This window comes from Homo sapiens, chromosome 1, assembly GCF_000001405.40.
Source record: "Homo sapiens chromosome 1, GRCh38.p14 Primary Assembly".
In the NCBI taxonomy this organism is placed as follows: Eukaryota; Metazoa; Chordata; class Mammalia; order Primates; family Hominidae; genus Homo; species Homo sapiens.
In genome coordinates, this window is record NC_000001.11 from 14,388,001 (window position 1) to 14,408,173 (window position 20,173).

General features: G+C 41.3%; 1 protein-coding gene and 1 long non-coding RNA gene across 7 annotated transcripts in view, besides 1 other annotated feature; one reads left to right on the plus strand and one right to left on the minus strand.

Annotated features, from left to right (window-relative positions):
- KAZN (kazrin, periplakin interacting protein) overlaps window positions 1-20,173 on the plus strand; it is a 1,225,220-nt gene that overhangs the window by 495,177 nt on the left and 709,870 nt on the right. The gene's annotated exons all lie outside the window — the stretch shown is intronic.
- The window catches only part of KAZN-AS1 (KAZN antisense RNA 1), a 71,019-nt gene that overhangs the window by 39,046 nt on the left and 11,800 nt on the right, over window positions 1-20,173 (minus strand). Inside the window, exons 2-3 of the long non-coding RNA NR_149058.1 lie at window positions 3,459-3,578; window positions 2,686-2,751 (exon numbers count right to left, since the gene is read on the minus strand). This is a non-coding gene — a long non-coding RNA (KAZN antisense RNA 1). The remainder of the gene's footprint in view (window positions 1-2,685; window positions 2,752-3,458; window positions 3,579-20,173) is intronic.
- Window positions 15,702-16,530: an enhancer, noted in NCBI's record as "OCT4-NANOG-H3K27ac hESC enhancer chr1:14730198-14731026 (GRCh37/hg19 assembly coordinates)". NCBI's record gives its function as "activates a minimal SCP1, AML or CMV promoter by ChIP-STARR-seq in primed H9 embryonic stem cells {active_cell/tissue: H9 hESC(primed)}" and the evidence as "EXISTENCE:reporter gene assay evidence [ECO:0000049][PMID:30033119]".

Genomic DNA, 20,173 nt, shown 5'->3' on the forward strand with positions numbered 1-20,173 from the left:
GGATATAATCTCCTGGTGTGCCGTTTTTTAAGCCCATCGGAAAAGCGCAGTATTCGGGTGGGAGTGACCCGATTTTCCAGGTGCCGTCTGTCACCCCTTTCTTTGACTAGGAAAGGGAACTCCCTGATCCCTTGCGCTTCCCGAGTGAGGCAATGCCTCGCCCTGCTTCGGCTGGCACACGGTGCGAGCACCCCCTGACCTGCGCCCACTGTCTGGCACTCCCTAGTGAGATGAACCCGGTACCTCAGATGGAAATGCAGAAATCACCTGTCTTCTGCATTGCTCACGCTGGGAGCTGTAGACCGGAGCTGTTTCTATTCAGACATCTTGGCTCTTCCCCCCTAGAAGAAACAATTCTAAACTTCATATGGAACCACAAAAGACCCTGAATAGCCAAGGCTATCCTAAACAAAAAGAACAAAACTGGAGGAATCACATTACTTGACTTTAAAATATACTACAGAGTTATAGTAGCCAAAACAGTACAGTACTGGCATAAAAATAGACACATAGATCAGTGGAACAGAGAACCCAGAGATAAATAGATACATCTATGATGAGCTCATTTTTGACAAACATGCCAAGAGCATACACTGGGAAAAAAAGTCTCTTCAATAAATGATGCAGGGAAAACTGGATATCCATATGCAGAAGAATGAAACTAGACCCCTATCTCTAAAAATATACAAAAATCAAATCAAGAAGAATTACAGACTTAAATATAAGACCTAAAACTATGATACTACTAAAAGAAAACATTAGGGAAACTCTCCAGGACATTGGACTGGGCAAAGATTTCTTGAGTAATATCCCACAAGCACAGGCAACCAAAGCAAAAAGGGACAAATAGGATCACATCAAATTAAAAGGCTTCTGCATAGCAAAGGAAACAATCAACAAAGTGAATAGAAAACCCACAGAATGAGATAAAATATTTCAAACTACCCATTTCACAAGGGATTAATAAGCAGATTATATAAGGCACTCAAACAACTCTACAGGAAAAAAAAATCTAATAATTTGATTAAAAATGGGCAAAAGATCTGAATAGACATTTCTCAAAAGAAGACATACAAATGGCAAGTAGGTATATGAAAAGGTGCTCAACATTATTGATCATCAGAGAAATGCAAATCAAAACTACAATGAGGTATCATCTCACCTCTGCTAAAATGGCTTTTCTCCAAAAGTCAGGCAATAACAAATGCTGGTGAGGATGTTGAGAAAAAGGAACCCTCGTACATTGTAGATGGGAATATAAACTAGTACAATCACAAAGGAAAAGAGTTTGAAGGTTTCTCAAAAAAACTAAAAATAGAGCTACTATATGATTCAGCAATCCCACTCCTAGGTATATACTGAAAAGAAAGGAAATCTGTATATCAAAGTGATATCTGCACTCCGGTGTTTGTTGCAGATCTAGTCACAATAGTCAAGGTTTGGAGGCAACCTATATTCATCAACAGATGAATGGATAAAAAAAAATGTTACACATACACAATGGAGTACTATTCAGCCATAAAAAGAACAAGATCCTGTCATTTGTAACAACATGGATGAAACTGGAGGCCATTATGTTAAGTGAAATAAGCCAGGCACAGAAAGTCATACTTCACATATTCTCACTTACTTATGGGAGCTAAAAATTAAAACAATTTAACTCATGGAGATAGAGAGTAGAAGGATGGTTACCAGAGGCTGGGAAGGGTAGTCAAGAGGAGAGGTGGAGGGGTAGGGAGTGGGGATGGATAATGGGTACAAAAAGAATAGCTAGAAAGGGTGAGTAAGATCTAGCACAACAGGGTGATTATAGTAAAAAAATAATTTAATTGCACATTTAAAAATAACTAAAAGAGTAAAATTGAATTGTTTGTAACACAAAGGATAAATGCTGGAGGTGATGGGTACCCCATTTACCCTGCTGTGACCATTATGCATTGCATGCCTGTATCAAAATAGCTCATGGACCCCATAAATATACACACCTACTATGTATGCACAAAAATTAAAAATTAAAAAAAGTAAGTGGATCAAAACCAAATAAGTACGTGGGCATATTTTAGAATGTGAGAAATAAATAAATAAATTTCACTGTTTTTTTTCCATTTGCAAAAACAAAATCAGCTACATGTAAATAAAAACAAATCAAATTATAGCAAATTTTAATTGCGATTAATCATGTATTGAGCCTCTACTAGGTGCTCAACAATGATCTAGCTCTGGAGATGAAGCAGTGAGTAAAACATACAAAAAACAGGCTCTTGTACATCTGGAGCTTATAGTCTACTGGAAAAGACAGAAAATAAGATTAAGAAAAATGTACAGTATGATTTATAATGTAAACTTCGAAGAAAATATAAGTACCTCCTTGGAAAGGGCGAAATCATGAGAGGTGGATAAGAGTTAAAATGTTGCATAGGGAAGCCAGGGAGGCCTCACCAAGGGGTGCCACTGGAATAAAGATCTGAAGGAAGTGAGGAAGAAAGCTGTGCAAATGTTTTGGGGGATGAGCATTCCATGCAGGGAGAACAGCATTTGTGAATGCCCTGAGGGAGGATCATGTTTTGTATTGCTGGACTCAGTAAACACCAGAGTAGCTGGAGGTAAATTCAGAGAGGTGGTGTCTTAGTCCACCTGTGCTGCTTGAGACTGGGTGATTTTTAATAAACAAATTTATTGACTCACAGTTCTGGAGGCTGGGAAGTCCAAGCTTAAGGCCTTGATATCTGGCGAGGGCCTTCTTGCTGCATCCTCCCAGGAAGGAAGGTAGAAGGGCAAAGAGGCAAAAGAAAGTCAAACTTGCTCTTTTGTAACAGCATTAATCCTACCCCTGAGGGCAGAGCCCTTGGCCCTATCACATCCCAAAGGTTCCACCTCCTGCCACCACCATGTTGCCAAGCAAATTTCAACCTAAGTTTTGAAGGGTACAAACATTTAAACCACAGCAGTTGGCAAAGGGCCAGGCCATTGTGAAGATATTGGCTTCGACTCAGAGTGAGGTGAAAGCCCTTGAAGATTCTCAGCAGATGGGCAGGAACTGGCTTGGGTGTTAACAGAGCCACTCTGGCTGATGTGATGAACATCAACTGGGGTAGGAGACATAAGCCAGAGGCCACTTAGGAGGCAATTATAATACCCAGGAATGAGGCCCCAGTGCATTGGACTCCAGGGGAGCCTGAAGTGGTGAGGAGCAGCTGTGCCACACTCCCTGGGCTGTCTTTCCTCATTCTGCTGCTTCTTGGGCACTTTTGAGGGATCCTTTTCAGGCTCTGACTCCAAATGTTGAGGTATCCAGATTCAGTCCTTGGTCTCTTCTCTTTGCTAAAGACACTTACTCCTTGGTGATCTCATCCCATCTTTGTATCTTCAGCTAGACTTTCCCCAGGGTCACATACACAACTGCCTGCTCAACCTCACCCCTGGGATATCTTAACCTTAACTCACTCAAGGTAACTTACTCCGGGGAAACCAACAACACCTGCTCCCACATCTCAGCCAGTGCACACTTCACTCTTCTGGCTACTTGCTCCTTCTCTCACGACCACTTCTGATCTGTCAGTACATCCTATTGGCACCACCTTAAAAATACAACCAGAAAATCCATTAGAAAGGAAACATTCCCAGAAATCCCATCCCTGTTAGTTCACAGTTAACACTGGTACCAACTCCCCCTAAATAAAGTTTGTATAGATAATCATTGACACAAATGGGCTCAGGAGACACATACAGGGGCCTTGACGTCTCAGTAAGATTCAGGCTTTTGTTTATTCTCTTTGTGCTGGGGGCAGGGTATTCCATTCCTGAGTAGTTATTTTTTCCCTTTTTAAAAAAATTTTCTTGCTTCTAGAGGTGAAAACCTGAGTGTTTTTATTCCTTTTTCACTCCTCACAATGTCAACCCTGGACACACACTAGTAGATATGGGATGACCGTACTTGCACTCATAATTCTCTGTCTCACTTCTCCAAATCCCCACTTGAACTAAATCATGACTGGATAGCTGTGAACTCTGGCATCCAGGAATATGACAAGTCCTTGGGAGCTGCCACTGATTCCAGCAGGAACAACAGATTCCTTTAACTTTAAGGGAGGTGTGAAGAGTGTAGCCAAGATGTGAAAGCCAAAGGTGATAGCCTTTAAACGCAGTTTAAGCCTCTTTATCCCCTGAGCCAATGGCTTCAAAGAGAGGCTTCCAGAGAAGACCACAAAATTATTAAGAGGAAAATCCTTATGTCTTTGTCAAAAGTTTTAGAAAGAAAAGGTAAGTGTATATGGGGTGGACATGTACATATATATTACAGCATATCTAGTAATGACTCAGCCTTCTCCAGCCTGCACGATGACTCTGTAATAGGGAGCGACTGAGTGGTGCCTTCCCTTGATTGTCAGAAGTGGTGCCATCATCTCTCCTGTAGCTGGATTCGGTTCCTAGTTGGCCGGTCAGTCTTCAGATGTTCAAGGCGGGACGATTGCACACCAGACCCTGTGGAGGGTGCTGGATATACAGCATCCAAGTAGCCTGGCAGGGTGTCTCTGCCCTTCCCCAAGCTTCCATCTGGCCATGATTTCTGAGCCATGGCTCCATTATTTGGGGCCACATCATTCTTTGTTGTGGGAGTGTCCTGTGCATTGTCGGAGGTTTCACAGCATCCCTGACCTTTACCCACTAGATGCCAGTAGCACACCTCGGTCATGACAATAGAGAAAAAGTCTGCGAACATTGCCAAATGTCCCCTGGGCGGAGGCGGGTGTGGGGGTGGGGGGACAAAACTGCACTAGTTAAGAATTGCTAGTTTAGCCCAGTGGAATCAAGAGTCCTGTTTTTGTAATTCTCATGGTGATTCTAATGGCGACCAGACCAGGCATCACTGCTCCAATCCACTGAATAAGTGTATACATTTTCTAGTTGGGGTCTTCTGGTCAGGAGGGGAGGGTATTGTTTGCCTTTGGCTTTCTTTCTGCTCTAGGGACTTCCTTCCATGGTGCAGTGGTCAATAAATGTGAAGTCAAGCGCAAGGGAAAGACAGCATTCTGCAGCCCCTCCTTCCGGACTGTTCTCTGCTGGCTCATTTGTGCAAACTTGAATATTGTTTGTTTTTAAGGTTCCACCATCTCTCTGAGTTCTTTTCTTGCAGGCATTCATCCTTGTCAAATCAAACGGTCAAAGTTCACATTCATGCCACAGGACTTGTCAGGGCTCCAAACAGGCACTTTCTCAAAGTATTTTTGCCCAAGGAACCATCTCGTGTATCACCTCTTGTTGATCTATTTCACAAGTTTGAGAACGCTGAAGTCACTTCTGCAAAGAACAAAGTAAATGCCCACCAAATAATAGATGCTATATTGCTATTATCATCATGATTATCAGTATGTAGCAAGAATAAAAGCATAAAATAAAAATATTTAGGTCACGAACTCTTACAGACATCATTGCATTTTAGAGAAGCCGTTTGGTACTGAGGATCCTCTGTGTGCCTTTGGGGCCAAGGAAATCAACCGTATTCCTTCAAATATCAAGGAAATACACGCTTTGTAGAATAATAGTTCATAGTAGCCTCACGAAGAGTTTGCCATAGTTGCTTATTCCAGGGGACACATTTGCAGGGTGACAAGTGGCACCCTCCCCAGTCTCTGACAATTAATATCTGTGCTTGGATGTTTTCTTAGAAGTACCCCAGGATTATATTGCTAGCATTGAGGACCTAAATCAGAGAGAATTGCTATTTCTAAAAGTCATGGAGGGAGGCTGAAGTGGGAGGATCACTTGATCCCAGGATGCAGAGGTTGCAGTAAGCCACTGCACTCCACACTCCCGCCTGAGTGACAGAGCCAGACCCAATCTCAAAAAAAAAAAAAAAAAAAAGTCATGAAAACTTTTACCTGTAAACTCCCCAGCTGAAAGAAATGTGTGTGTTTTTTTAATGTAGTTGGAAAGCCCTTTAAACTCATTTTAATGGTATCAGGAGAATTAGAGCTTTGCTGTTAAGGATTTGATGATCAAAGGCAGGCAGCCTTGATTGGCATTTATCTTTTGCTGTGCAGCTGCTTCAGGCTTTTTGATGTTCTCTTGTCACCAAATGGGCAGGACGGAAGAAAAGAACCTTTTTTATGGTGAGGACCCCCCCACACACATGCCAGCAGTACAAAGGTGGGCTTGGTTAGTGCGTTAACGCAATGATGCTGATTTTCCTATTTGCTTTAGTGTTCAAAAGATGCAAAAGCTCCTAGGGCCATTAAGATGGCATGTGATCTTATGTCAAGGGGAATGGCAATGGCCTGAGACCCTGGGACTCTCTTGCCATCACTGCCATTTCAGCAGACAAATGGATTTCCAATATTCTCCTGGCCAGACTATTTCAAGATTGCCAATAAATAAATAATGAAGGAATCTGGGATGGGGGTAGAAAGAGTCACCTACCCAGTGATTGAAGGAAACAACTGAAAAGCTTTTTTAAATATAAATCAACATTATGTAATAATAAGTGATGGTATTTGGTTGATACTTTTATCATTTTTATAATCTAAAGCCTTACACACGTTATCACATATGACTGTCATAACACTCCTGGGAAAATATAGATAGGATCGAAGGTAGTTTATATTAACCCCATTTAAACCCAGAGGTTAAGTAGCTCCTTTACAATCTTAACACTCTTCACCACTAAGTGATATTGTCATTCTTTCCCTCCACTGAAGAAGGGAGCTAACTCCCACTGTTTCTCAGTCCTTACTATATGTTGGGCTGGTATTAGTGCTTTGCATATATTATCTTGTTGAACGCAGTAAGAACTCTGTGAGGTGGGTAGGAAGTGTTCCTCTCTTACAGATATGGGGACAGTATTGGATAAGTTAGACTGATATGCCCAAGGTCACCCAGCTAGTGAGTGACAGACAGGGATATGACCTAGCTTTGCAGACTCAGGAGCTTCTGTTCAGTCCAGTCTACTTTGCACTGCTGTGATGGCTAAGTCCTAGGCAGTGATCTCTTTGAAGGCAAAGACTGCCTAACTCACCTCTGCTTCCTCAGTGCCTAGCACAGGCCCTGGTACAGAATAGGCCCTACTGGGGCTGAAGGATGGAAGGAGAGAGAGAGGGAGAGAATAAGGGGGAAAAGAAGGAAGGAGAGGAGAGAGAATGAGATGGAGGAGAGAAGAAAAAAGAGGGAGTAAAAGAAAAGGAAGAAAAGAGGCAGGGAGAGAAAAGGAAGAGAAGGCAGGTGGTCTGCTTTAGCTGTTTCTACATATCACCTCGAATGAAACAAGAAAGAAGTCTGTGTTGATGTTGTCACTGTTTATTGTTATTTTACTAATGTACTACCTATAACATTCTGCTTTCCACCTCCACTTTTTTTTAAGTGCTTGGAATAGTCATGTCCTGGTAGGAAGAGATGGATTTAGGGTCTACTTAAAAAGGCGTAGGTGCATTCTGTCCTTGGCTGGGGCTCTTACCACCGCCAGGGCAGAAGGTAGACGTGGACCAGTGGCTCCTGGAATCACGGAGAGGGCTGTGGCTGTGGCTGGTGGGAGCTGCAGCTCCTGTGGAGGAACATAGCTACTAACTGGCTGTTGCAAAAGGCAGGCAGGGGACTAATTTACTTACCCCGACACCTCCTCTCTGATTTTCAGTCCCCTGCTGGTGCCCTTCAGTGATCAAACCCAACAGCAAGCTGTAAGACTAGGGTATCCTTGATCCAGAAATGTCAGCCTCCCAGGGAAAGATGCAGCACGGACTTGGCGGGGCAACAAGACTCGCGCTGAGTTAGAAGACGGATACTAGTGAAGACATTTAACGTGAACAGCAGGGGGCACCAAACAGGAGTGGCACTGACCAATCAGAGCAGTGCCAGCCATAATAACCCCACAGTTCTTGTACCTTTTTAAGACTTAAAGTGGGGCTAGGTGGCTCATGCCTGTAATCCCAGCACTTTGGGAGGCCGAGGCAGGTAGATCACGAGGTCAGACGCTCGAGACCAGCCTGACCACCATGGTAAAACCCCCATCTCTACAAAAAATACAAAAATTAGCCTGGCATAGTGGCGCGCCCCTGTAATCCCAGCCACTCAGGAGGCTGAGGCAAGAGAATCGCTTGAACCCGGGAGGCAAAGGTTGCAGTGAGCCGAGACCGCACCACTGCTCTCCAGCCTGAGCGACAAGAGCAAGACTCCGTCTCAAAAAAAAAAAAAAAACTGCAACAAATAAAGCAAAACAAGAAAAAACTTAGGTCTTACACTGGTCTGCACTGAATGTGGGCCTTAGAAAAGATATCTACAAACAAAAGATATCTGTATGTCTCTAGGGGGATCTGCAGGAATGTACACACAGTTTCTCTAGTTCAGCCACACCAGCTATGGCTCAGCTAGGGCAAACCCAAGTCCCTGCCAGCCAAAGACTATGACCCGTGGCTTAGACATACAGGTTCCAAAAAATGATGGGGAAATGCCCTTTACCAAAGGCCAATATCTAACTCCTTTTCTAACTTGTGAAAATTCTGGAGCATTGGCAATGCCCACCCGTCAGACTCACTCCCCTAACACGTGAGAATTTTCCAAACTATTTTGACAGATGAAATTGCAGATAATTAGCTTGGCTCTGCCAACTTGAAATTACTGGGGATGATTTCTGTGGCTGTGTACTCGAGTTTCTGGAAGATAATCTAAAATTGAGAAGCAGGCCAGTGTTATCCTCATCTTACCCCTCCATCACTTCGTTACAAGTGTGGAAGAAAACTCTGGGCTGGTCATAAACATCTACAATAAATGCAGGGGAATAAGCCACTCAATTTAAGCCATGCAGCCTGGATCTGTTTTTAGCTGTGAGATTGAAAAAGTCCTGTCACCTAAATGCCTTTTCTCTAATGTCAGCCATCTTTTTAAGACAGATTCCATTTTCTCTGCTCTATGAGTTTTTTTTTTTTACTTAGAACAAGATTGGCAACTGAAAAATAAAGTGAGATCTATAGAAAGTTTATGTCTCCATCTCTATTCCTACCTACTTCTCCTTCAGTGATGTCCATGACTTTGGATTTTGAAAGTTTGTTTCTCCCATTTTTCTAGAGGCTACAGTCAATGTATCTTTGTAAGACTGAAATAGGATTGCAGTAATAGCCCCACTTCCTCTCTCTCTGTAGCTATAGTCTTTAGCAGGTGACTTCAGAGTTCCTCCCATACAGGTGATGTATATTTTCTCTCCCTATGTGTCTTCATCATCTCAGGCTGCCAGAACAAAATACTACAAACTGGGTGGCTTGAACAATGGAAGTTTCTCACAGTTTTGGAGACTGGAAGTCCAAGATCAGGGCACCAGCATGGTCAAATTCTGGTGAAGTTCCTCTTCCTGGCTTGTAGATGGCCTCCTTCTCATTGTGTCCTCATATGGTGCAGAGAGAGAGAATTTTGTCTCTTCTTTTTCATGTAAGGACACCATTAGCATCTTGGGAGTTTCACCCCCATTTACCCCCATTTCACCCCACTTCCAAACATGACATTGAGTGTTAGGGATTCAACATGTACGTTTTAAGTGACACAAACAGCTCAGAACATCATGCAACTCACTCTGACCAATAGAATAAGGCAGAAGCGCTGGGGGCGGTGGTTCATGCCTGTAATCCCAACAGTTTGGGAGGCCGAGGCGGGCGGATCACCTGAGGTCAGGAGTTTGAGACCAGCCTGGCCAATATGGTGAAACCCCATCTCTACTAAAAATACAAAAAAAAATTAGCTGGGCGTGGTGGCAGGTGCCTGTAATCCCAGATACTTGGGAGGCTGAGATAGGAGAATCACTTGAATCTGGGAGCTGGAGGTTGCCATGAGCCGAGATCTCACCATTGCAGTCCAGCCTGGGCAACAAGAACAAAACTCCATCTCAAAAAAAAAAAAAAAAAAAAAGGCAGAAGGAAGGATGTGCCTGTTCTGAGATAAGGCTTCACGAGTCCTTGCCTGATTCCTCCTGCATTGCAGAATAAGAGACATATGGAGCCAAAATACCTCAGTTAAGGTGGCCTAGCCCTTTCCAGAACAAAGTTCCCGATTGACTCATAGATGCACAAGTGAGTCTAGCCAAGATAAGTCAAGCCCAGCCTATAGCTGCTCGCTCCCTAGCCTACTAAAATGCCTGTGTTACAGTAATATATAAAACTAATATAGTCATGAGTTAAATGATTCTGGTTTTATGCTGCTGAGTTTTGAGTTAGTTGGTTATGCAACAATAGCTAACTGATAAAGTATGGCTACCGAATAGTCACTATTATTCATACTCTTTTCCTACAAACGAAGTTAGATATAGTGATTAAAAGTGTGGAGTAGATCAGGTCTTCTTGAATTTGAATCCTGGCTCCGCCACTTACTATCTGTGATTTTGGGCAAGGCACCTCAATTTCCTTATCTGTACAAATGAATATAACAACAGTATCACATAGGGAAATTGTGAGGATCGAATGGGTTAATGCATATAATGCACCTGAAACAGTGCCTGGTACACAGCAAGCACTGTAGAAGTGTTTGCTATTATCCCTTTTAAAGGGCTTGAGACTTGGCGAGAGCAGGCTGCAGGTGAGGTTGGTTGATGCCCAGGTGGGATCAGGTCCACTGCTCAATGACAGGTTCTAAGCTCGTGTCTTCAGCAGGAGATGGGCTCACTTTTCCCAGAAGAGGAAACGTAATCAAGACTGCTTTAGAATTCTCTGAGATGACTCTTTTCTATCTTCTCTGAGAAATAAGCATTAGCATGTTAAGGGCATTATGCTTTTCTCCTACACGGAACTGATGGGAGAGAGAATGGCTATCAACAACCCAGAAGACTCCAGACCACGTGGTCAAGCACTCTGAAGGGTGCAGGACCCCGTTGTGTTTCCTCCTTTTCCTCCCCACATCCAGGCACTCAGTGTTCTCACTCTGTGACTTTCGGATTACTCGGGGGTTTTCTTTCTGGAAGTGTTGGGGCTGCCTCAACTGCCACCGATCCCCTGAATCTCCCCATTCCCCCCTCCACTCATGGCACTTGCCATCCCTGGACAAAGAAATTTTGGAGGGGGGGATTTTGTTTGTTTTGAGACAGAGTCTCACTCTGTCACCCAGGCTAGAGTGCAGTGGCGCAATCACAGCTCACTGCAGCCTCGATCTCCTGAGCTCAAGCGATCCTCCCACCTCAGCCTCCTGCCATGCCTGGCTAGTTTATTTATTTATTTATATTTATTTATTTTTAGTGGAGATGAGGTCTCACTATGTTGCGCAGGCTGGTCTCAAACTCCTGAGGTCAAGTGATCCTCCCGCCTCAGCCTCCCAGAATGCTGGGATTATAAGCATGGGCCACCGCACTCAACCCAAAGATGTTTTGATAACAGCTAATTTGTTGATAAATTACTGCTCCTAAATAATCTATTTGCTGCTTACCAACTACATGTCTTAGGTAGTAGTGTTCTATCAACAAAAAGTGAGTTTAATGATGGAAAGTCTAGATACCTTGATAGTCATTGGTAAAGGTAATTTAAGGGCAAAAAAGACATCTAGGACTCTCTCAGTAACAGGCAAGCAGCCAGCCACCCATTAGGACCAATCCCAAGCTTTGAGATGGGCTCACGAGTCACCTGGGGGCGTGTACTGGGTTTAGTCACGTAACCATCTCAAAACTCTCTGTCCTGGGTCACAGCTGGAGACATCCACGTTGCTAAGGGGTGGTGGCCTGTGTGACCCTCTTTTTCACACCTTGGAATCTTCCCACATGCTGCTCTGCTCTGAGATCAAAACCCCTACCTGTGCTTCAAAGCCGTCGTGCTCGATGCCATCTCTCAGGAAGGCTTCCCCGAGGCTCTACTCATCAATTACCTCTTCCCTCCCCATACCCTTTTGCTAGTGACTCTCTCCTGTCTCCAACTGGACCATGAACTCCTTGAAGATGGCATTTATACCCTGTTCATCTCATCATTTCCCACATGACTTAACGGAGTGACTTTTGTGTATCAAGCTCTCAGTAAGTAATTGGTGAATTAAAATAAAAAAAGAAGGAATGATTTCACAGTCATTTCATCCAGTCAGGGGTTAATGCCCACACTCCTACCCAAGCATGTAATGATCCCCAAGCCCAGTGATCTCGTAAGCTCCGGTGACCACTGGACATACTGAACCACTTCTATCCTCCAGGGATACCCAGGACAGGGACGGAATGTTTAGGGAGCTCCATTTGTTCACATGTCTTTCTTTGATGCCAGCTCAGGCAGTATTTGTCCTGAGAGAATCACAAAGGAAGAAATCTCAACATCTCTAAGAGCAATGTGAGAACAACCTGGCCAGGAGAAGTGCCATCATCATGAATTTAAAGCTTTATGGCACTTCTCGAATTTTTCAACTCTCATAAATCATAAAATTGTAGGACTAGAAAGACACTTGGAAATCATCCTGTCCAGTCTGCCATGAAAATATGCATTCCTTGGGAGGTGCTTTCTCTCACAGCACATTCATTGTGCAGATGTGTGGTCCAAGGTCACAGAACTGGTAGCAGATCTGGGATCAGAACCCAGCACTCCAGCTCTTACCCAGCATCCACTCAGCAGCCCACACTGAGCTGATATGGCAAAGAATGAATGGGTTACTGTCTCCAGGCTATGCCAGGGACTGCAACAGGTGCTGTAATTACTTGTCTTTAGAGTAATAAGCCTCTGTAATAAGTATGTAATGTGGAAGCTTTATTCAGCCCATCAACCCTCAATAACCATTGTTGCCTAGCTGTACTCTCCCAGGCCCGGCCCCTGCTGCATTGCCCATCACTTGGGATCTTAAGTAACAGCACTTCTTGTAGAAGAACAAGGCCCTGCCAGATGTGACTAGATCACAAGAATTAGCATTGAACACTGGTTAAAAATAAAAGTAGTTTTTTCATGACATTCCTATCTGCCGTGTGTGTATGTGCATGGGTGTGTTTGAAATGTGATGAACAACAGCAATGATGTTATATAGATATTCATATGACAAATGTGTGCTGGACATCTACTAACAGAAAGGCCTTGTGCTAGGAATTTTGTTCCAAAAACAAGGAAGCATAAATGCTGTAAGCATGGTGTGAACACAATGGTCTGAGGCTGCCAGGGAGAGAGCACAATGGGTTTTCAAAGGGGATAAGAAGGGGGCAGAAGAGGAATCAAATAAGGCTTCAAGGAAGTGATGACACTTGAGTGATTTTAAATTCCCAGACACCTGAGAATTTGTAAAATCAGAAATGGAGAGAATATTCCAAGTAGAAAAGATAGCTTGAACCCAGAAGATGTTAAGGTTGACTTTCAGCAAAGCTTGAAAAATAGCATATAATAACTGTTCTTATATATATAATGTAGAAGAAGCACAAAAGAGAGAAGACGACTAGTTTTAGGAAACTGCTGATATAAGGATTATATCATTCCAGGTCAATCTCGTATGTTGAACACAGAGGGAAAAATTCTAAATAAGAGCAAACGAATCCAGCAGGATATTAAAATAACTACATTGTCACTAATGAGCCTTACCTAAGGAATGCAAGGATAGTATGAAGTTTTAGAATCTATCAGTATAGGTCTGGCACAGTGGCCCATGCCTGTAATCTCAGCACTTTGGGAAGCCAAGACAGGTGGATCACTTGAGCCCAGGAGTTCGAGACCAGCCTGGGGAATATGGTGAAACCCCATCTCTACAAAAAATACAAAAATTAGCCAGTCTCACAATGTGGTCTCAAAATAAATAAGTAAAAATGTAAAAATAAATCTATCAATATAATTCATTTATTATAGGAAAAATAATATCATTAGTTCAGTAGGTACAGAATCAATCATTAGTAAGCTCCCACACTTATTTATAATTTAAAAAATAAAACCAAACACCTCTTATCAAACTAGAAATGGGAAAAAAAATTGCTGCTGGAACCTAAAAGCAAACGTCATATTAAGAGTGAAATAGGCAAGTCTTTCCAGTAAAGTTCAAAAGAGGTAAGAATGCCTGCTATCACATCTATTATCCAACATTATATTTCAATTTTTTTGTTAATATAATACAAGTAAAAGAAATAGATAGGCATAAGAATCAAAAAGGCAAACAACAATTTTAGTATTTTCAAAAGTTATGAGTCTATGTAAAAAAAAAAAAGAGAACATATATATTTTCAGAACTAAAAAAAGCACTCAAAAAGTCCAATGACTTTTAGTTCTAAAAATTTTAAACACAAAATTTACATTTTAAATACAAAACCCACATTTTAAAAAAATTTGTAAGTTTCTATAGGCCAAAAAAAAAAAAATCTTCGATGTTATAGGAAAAATAGCCTGTTCCTAATAGCAACAAATTTATGAAAGAATATTAATAATTGATAACACTCATTGAGTTCTTACCAGCGTTCCAAGCACTTGTATTTTCTACCTTATTTAATTCTCATGGAAAGTTTATGATCTAAGCTATCTAAAAATAACAAAAGCCTTGCAAGAACTTTATGGACAAAATTATAAAGTGTTATTAAAGAGCATAAAGGACTCAAGCAAATAGGAATATATATTATATTGTTTCATGGGAAAACTGAATATCTAAATGTCATAAATATAAAATATCCCCAAATTAACTTATAAATGTCAATATGTTATAATCAAAGTCCTGACAAAATATTTTTAAATGAAACTAGACAAACTGATTCTGAAAATCACACAGAAGAGTAAACATCGAAGAGTTGCTAAATAAGTTGTGAAAAAGAACAAAAAAGAAGAACCTGCTCTATCAGTTACCAAGACTAACCCTATTATAATGAAAACTATGACACTGGTGAAGAAATAGGTTAATAGATCGATGAAGGAGAATAAAAATCTCACAGACCCAAATGGATATAGAAACTTTTTTTTTTTTTGAGACAGAGTCTCACTCTGTTTCCTAGGCTGGAGTGCAGTGGCACAATCTTGGCTCATTGCAACCTCTGCCTCCTGGGTTCAAGTGATTCTCATGCCTCAGACTCCCAAGTAACTGAAATTACAGTGCATGCCACCACATCTGGCTAATTTTTGTATTTCTAGTAGAGACGAGGTTTCGCCACATTGGTCAGGCTGGTCTTGAACTCCTGGCCTCAAGTGATCCACCCCCTTGGCCTCCCAAAGTGCTCGGATTACAGGCATGAGCCACCACACCCAACCTGCATATAGAAACTTAATCCATAATAGAGGTGACATTGCAAATAAATAGAAAAAATATAAACCATTAAACACCTTTACAAATGGTGCTGGGAGAATTAGCTTTGTATGTAAGAAAAAAATGAAAGTACATCCTTACTTCACACCATACTCAAAAATTAAAACAGATGGATCAAAACCTAGATGCAAAAAGAAAACTTTAAATCTATTAGAAGAAAATGTCTTTGAAGCTTCAGGCTCAGCCAAGAGTTCTTAGTAAAGATCCCTTTACTCCCCAAACGAAAAAAAAATCAGCAAAAGAAACATTAATATTTGGTTCATTTCAATTTTATAAGCCTTTTGTGAACAAAATTGAAAGACAAACCACAGACTCGAAGTAGGTATTTGCAACATATAACTGAATTAGTATCTAGAATATATAAAGAATTTTCAACATCAATAAGAAAAGGACAAAGAACCAACAACAAAAGAACCACACTAACAAAATCAAAATAGAGAAATGACAGAAAAGAAATATGAAATGGCCAGTCTAGAACCCATGGGAGGAGAGCCTCAACCTCACTCACAGTCTGGAACTGCAACTAGTAACGAGATACCATTTCACAGCATCTGTGGAGGAAAGTTTAAAACCTGACAGTATCAAGTGTTGGTGAAAATGCTACTGCTGGAAAAGTGATGAAGTGGCATCATTTTTCTGGGGTAATACCCAACATTCATTGCCTCATACCAAGGAAATCAAGGATGCAGACACACTATAGTGAAGTTAAGAGCGGAAGTTTAATAGGCAAAAGAAAAAGAAGAGGTCTCTGCGCAGAGAGGTCCCGGAGAAAATGGGTTGCCGCTTCTGCAGTGAAATGCGTAAGGTTTTATAGAGGAACTTGAGGGGGTGGTGTCTGATTGACATAGGGCACAAAAGATTGATCGGACCAGGTGTGCCACTTGCATAGCACGCAAAGAACTGGTTATGACTAGGTGTGCCGTTTGCATAACACGGGAAGAGGCTGGTCGCCCCACCCTCATCTTTTATTATGCAGATGGGTTATCTACCTAGTTGACGCTGTATTACCTGCTTTTACTGTACCCATGGTGACAAAGAAAAGGGAAGACGGAGACTCCATGTCGAACATGCCTGAACCTCAGGTAGCCCTTTCCTATTGGCACAGCTGCCAGCATTCACTTGTGCAAGCTTCCAACTTGCTTATCTGTGTCTGCAGCTCGATTTTTCAGGCTGCTCTTTGTTAGAAAAGAAATGATTTGGGTGCTGCTTTTTGTTGAAAGGGAAATTCCACTGCGGACTCTGTTGCCCTTACTATCTGCCTAAATAATTTCTTTCTATCTCCCGTATCAGTGTGCTGGAACAACAAGGTACCTGGCAGGCCTAAACAACAACAAAAAAATGCATGCACTAGAATCCAGCAATTCCATTTCCTGAAACAAGTTCTCCCTCAGTGCCTAAGGAGATATGCATGAAGATGTTCACTGCAGCACTGTTTACTCTGGGAAAGAAAAACTTAGAAATAATTAAAATGTCTGTAAATAGGAGAAAAGATCAATGGGCTCTATTCATAAGATGCATCACTTAACCCAGTTAAGAGAATGAAGTACTGAAAATTCTCAAAAATAGTAAGAAAAACAAACTAATTGATGAAATGTATATATGCAAACACCAACATATATTGTCATTGACATGTATGTATTGTAAAAGAGTAAGAAAGGTCCACTTAAAGAACACTCAATAAATTCCTTAAGAAGGAATGCTATCTAACACCTGGCATTCTGTCACATCATTGTAAAGATGAGTGTGGAAGAAGAGCAAATGTTCACCATCCTGCTGGGAGAGCTCCTCCTGGAATTCTATGCCTTTGTGCATTCTTTATGTTTTCTACATTGCATTAAGGCAGCTAAGAAACATCTTGTCTTTGTGTGTGGTGGGGGGTAGGGGGATAGCAGTGTGTGTGAATAAACCCACCTCCTGAATACATATACAAAATGCTTTCAACTCAGAACTTTGCATACCACTGCTCAGAGCAGACCAAGGCTATGTGTTGTCATGACAACAAACTCAACGATTTGAAATGCAGATTCTTTCTCTTTTGCTCTGATGGAAACTGATGAGGAATGCAAGATACTTTGTATTGGGTATGAGCCTGTTTGAGTTCAAATGTGATATTAGAATTGGTTGTATGCCCAGCGGGGAAGGAAATGTATGATTTACAAAGCATTGAAACCAAGAAATCATATAGATTTTCAGGAAAGCCTGTACATTGATTATAAAGTTTTGACACTTAAGATCCACTTTGAGTCTTGGCAGTCCTATAAGAGTAGTTTTGCGTTGTGTTGGAGAGGAAGCGGGAGAGGCAATGGGATAAACACTCTGGTTCTAGAGTCCAAAAGACCTGCCTCAGCACTTCCTAGCTGTGTGTCATTTGGGCAAGTTACTTACCATATTAATCAGCATCCTCCAGAAAAACAGACCCAATAAAATGTGTGTGTGTGTGTGTGTGTGTGTGTGTGTGTGTGTGTGTTTATACAGAGAGAGAGATTTATTATAAGGAATTGGCACTCACAAGATTATGGAGGTTTACAAGTTCCAAAGATCTTCAGGGTGAGTTGACAAGCTGGAGACCCCAGAAAGCCCATGGTGTAATTCCAGTTCAAAGACCAGCCAGCTCAAGACCCAGGAAGGGCTGATGTTTCGGTGTGAAAGCAGTCAGGCAGGAGGCATTTTTTCTTATTTGGGGGAGGATCAACCTTTTTGTTCTATCCATGCCTCCAAGGAATTGGATGAGGCCTGCCCACATTAGGGAGGGCAGTCTGCTATCCTCAGTCTACTGATTTAAATGTCAATCTCAGATGGTTAATCGGTGCACAAAATGAGAAGTAATGAATAATAAGACCTACTAGTTGATAGCACACAATAGGGTGACTATGGTCAACAATAACTTCATTGTACATTTTGAAATAACATAAAGAATGTAATTGGCTTGTTTGTAACTCAAAGGATAAATGCTTGATGGGATGGATACCCCATTCTCCACAATCTACTTTTTTCACATTGCGTGCCCGTCTCAAAACATCTCAGGTACCCCCTACATATATACATCTACAATGTACTCACAAATTTGTTTTTAATAATTTTAAAAAATAAAAATAAAAATTACATTTAGGATACCATCAATCAACAAGTGGATAAAGAAACTGTGATATATATACACACAATGGAAGACTACTCAGCCATAAAAAAAGAATGAGTTAATGGCATTTGCAGCAACCTGGATGAGATTGGAGACTATTATTCTAAGTGAAGTAACCCAGGAATGGAAACCCAAACATCGAATGTTCTCACTTATAAGTGGGAGCTAAGCTATGAGGATGAAAAGGCATAAGAATGACACAATGGACTTTGGGAACTCGAGGGGAAAGGATGGGAGGGGGGTGAGGGATAAAAGACTACAAATTGGGTTCAGTGTATACTGCTTGGATGATGGGTGCACCAAAATCTCACAAATCACCACTAAAAAACGTACTCATGTAACCAAATACCACCTGTTCCCCCAAAACCTATGGAAATTAAAAAATTAAAATGATTAAATAAACAAGTATTAATCTCATCCTAAAACACCTTCTCAGAAACAGCCAGAATAATATTTGAGCAAATATCTGGATGCCCTGTGGCCCAGTCAAGTTGACACATAAAATTAACCAACACACTCACACTCTTTGTGTCTTGGTTTTCTCGATTGTAAAAGACAGCTAATAATAGTAGATAGCTCATAGGCTTGAAGTGAGGAATAAATAAGCTGCTGTACATAAAGTGCAAACAGAAGAGCTGAGACTTAGCAGGCACTCGATAGCTGTGTACCGAATGAATTTCCAGTTTCGCAAGTCATCTATGAGTACCCCCAAAATAGATCACTTAGTTTGCTTGTTTTCATGCTTTATAAAAATGGTAGCTTCAGAGACTTGCTTTGTTCACTCAACATTACACTAGCAACATTTGTATTCAGATATTACTGAGAATATTCATTCCGTCGATGGACATGTGGGTCATTCCTCGTTTTTGTATTTTCAACAATGCTCCTGTGAACTCTTGTCCATGGCAGAGGGCTCACCTCTGGGATTTTCTCTAAGACCTGGGAGAGGACTTGCTGGGTCATAGGATAGACAAGTATTTAATTTTATAAGATTGAGCTAAATTATGTCCCAAAGTGCTCAGTTTGTTGAATGAGAAAATAGTGATCAGATATTGTTCTGCTGGTCATTGAAAGAAGTCCTTACAAAGACTATCCAACAGGCAAAAGAATCTTGTGGTGGTAAATGGGGGGAAAAAGAGGGATATGAAGTTAAGTGTGATTGTAGCTCCAAAGAAAAGAAGGTGGAGGCAAAGCAATATAATACCAGAGTTGCAAGAGAAGATGTGAACAGGGTATAAAATCAGACAGATCTGGGGTCAAGCCTCTCCCTGTCCACAACCTGCCTGTGAGACCTTGAGCCAGTTTCCTGATCTCTCTACACTCATGTTATGTCATTTTAAAATGAGAATAATCACACCTAGCGTAGAGTGTTGTATAAACTGTTATCATGCATATAGTAAGTTCTTAACAAATGATGGACAAAAACACAAACAAAAACCATGTCTTTTTTTTTAAAAAGACAAATATGCACTTGAATGATTACTGAGGCTTATGGTAGGTCTTAAGTTATGAGTGGTTTAGTTTTTCTACTTTCAGAGCTCCTGGAAAGTGCTTATATTGCTTTCAAAATGGGAAAATTAATTTGTTTTTTAGACATTTCATTATTTGCTACTTTATGCAGGTTCTTTATGCTACTTTTATTTACTCACACACCTCTCAATTCAATTTATCACATCCATGGGGAACTGGGCAAAGTGACTGACTTCAGTTAGAGCAGGCAGCAGGTACCTGATTCACCAGGGGGCTGCCCCTCAGGTCAGGTTTTGCACAAGCTGAGAATGATCCCCAATTAGGACCTATTAAGGTGAGAAATCTCTTGATTTGGTCATAATTAAAAGTCCTCTCTGCAAATGCTTA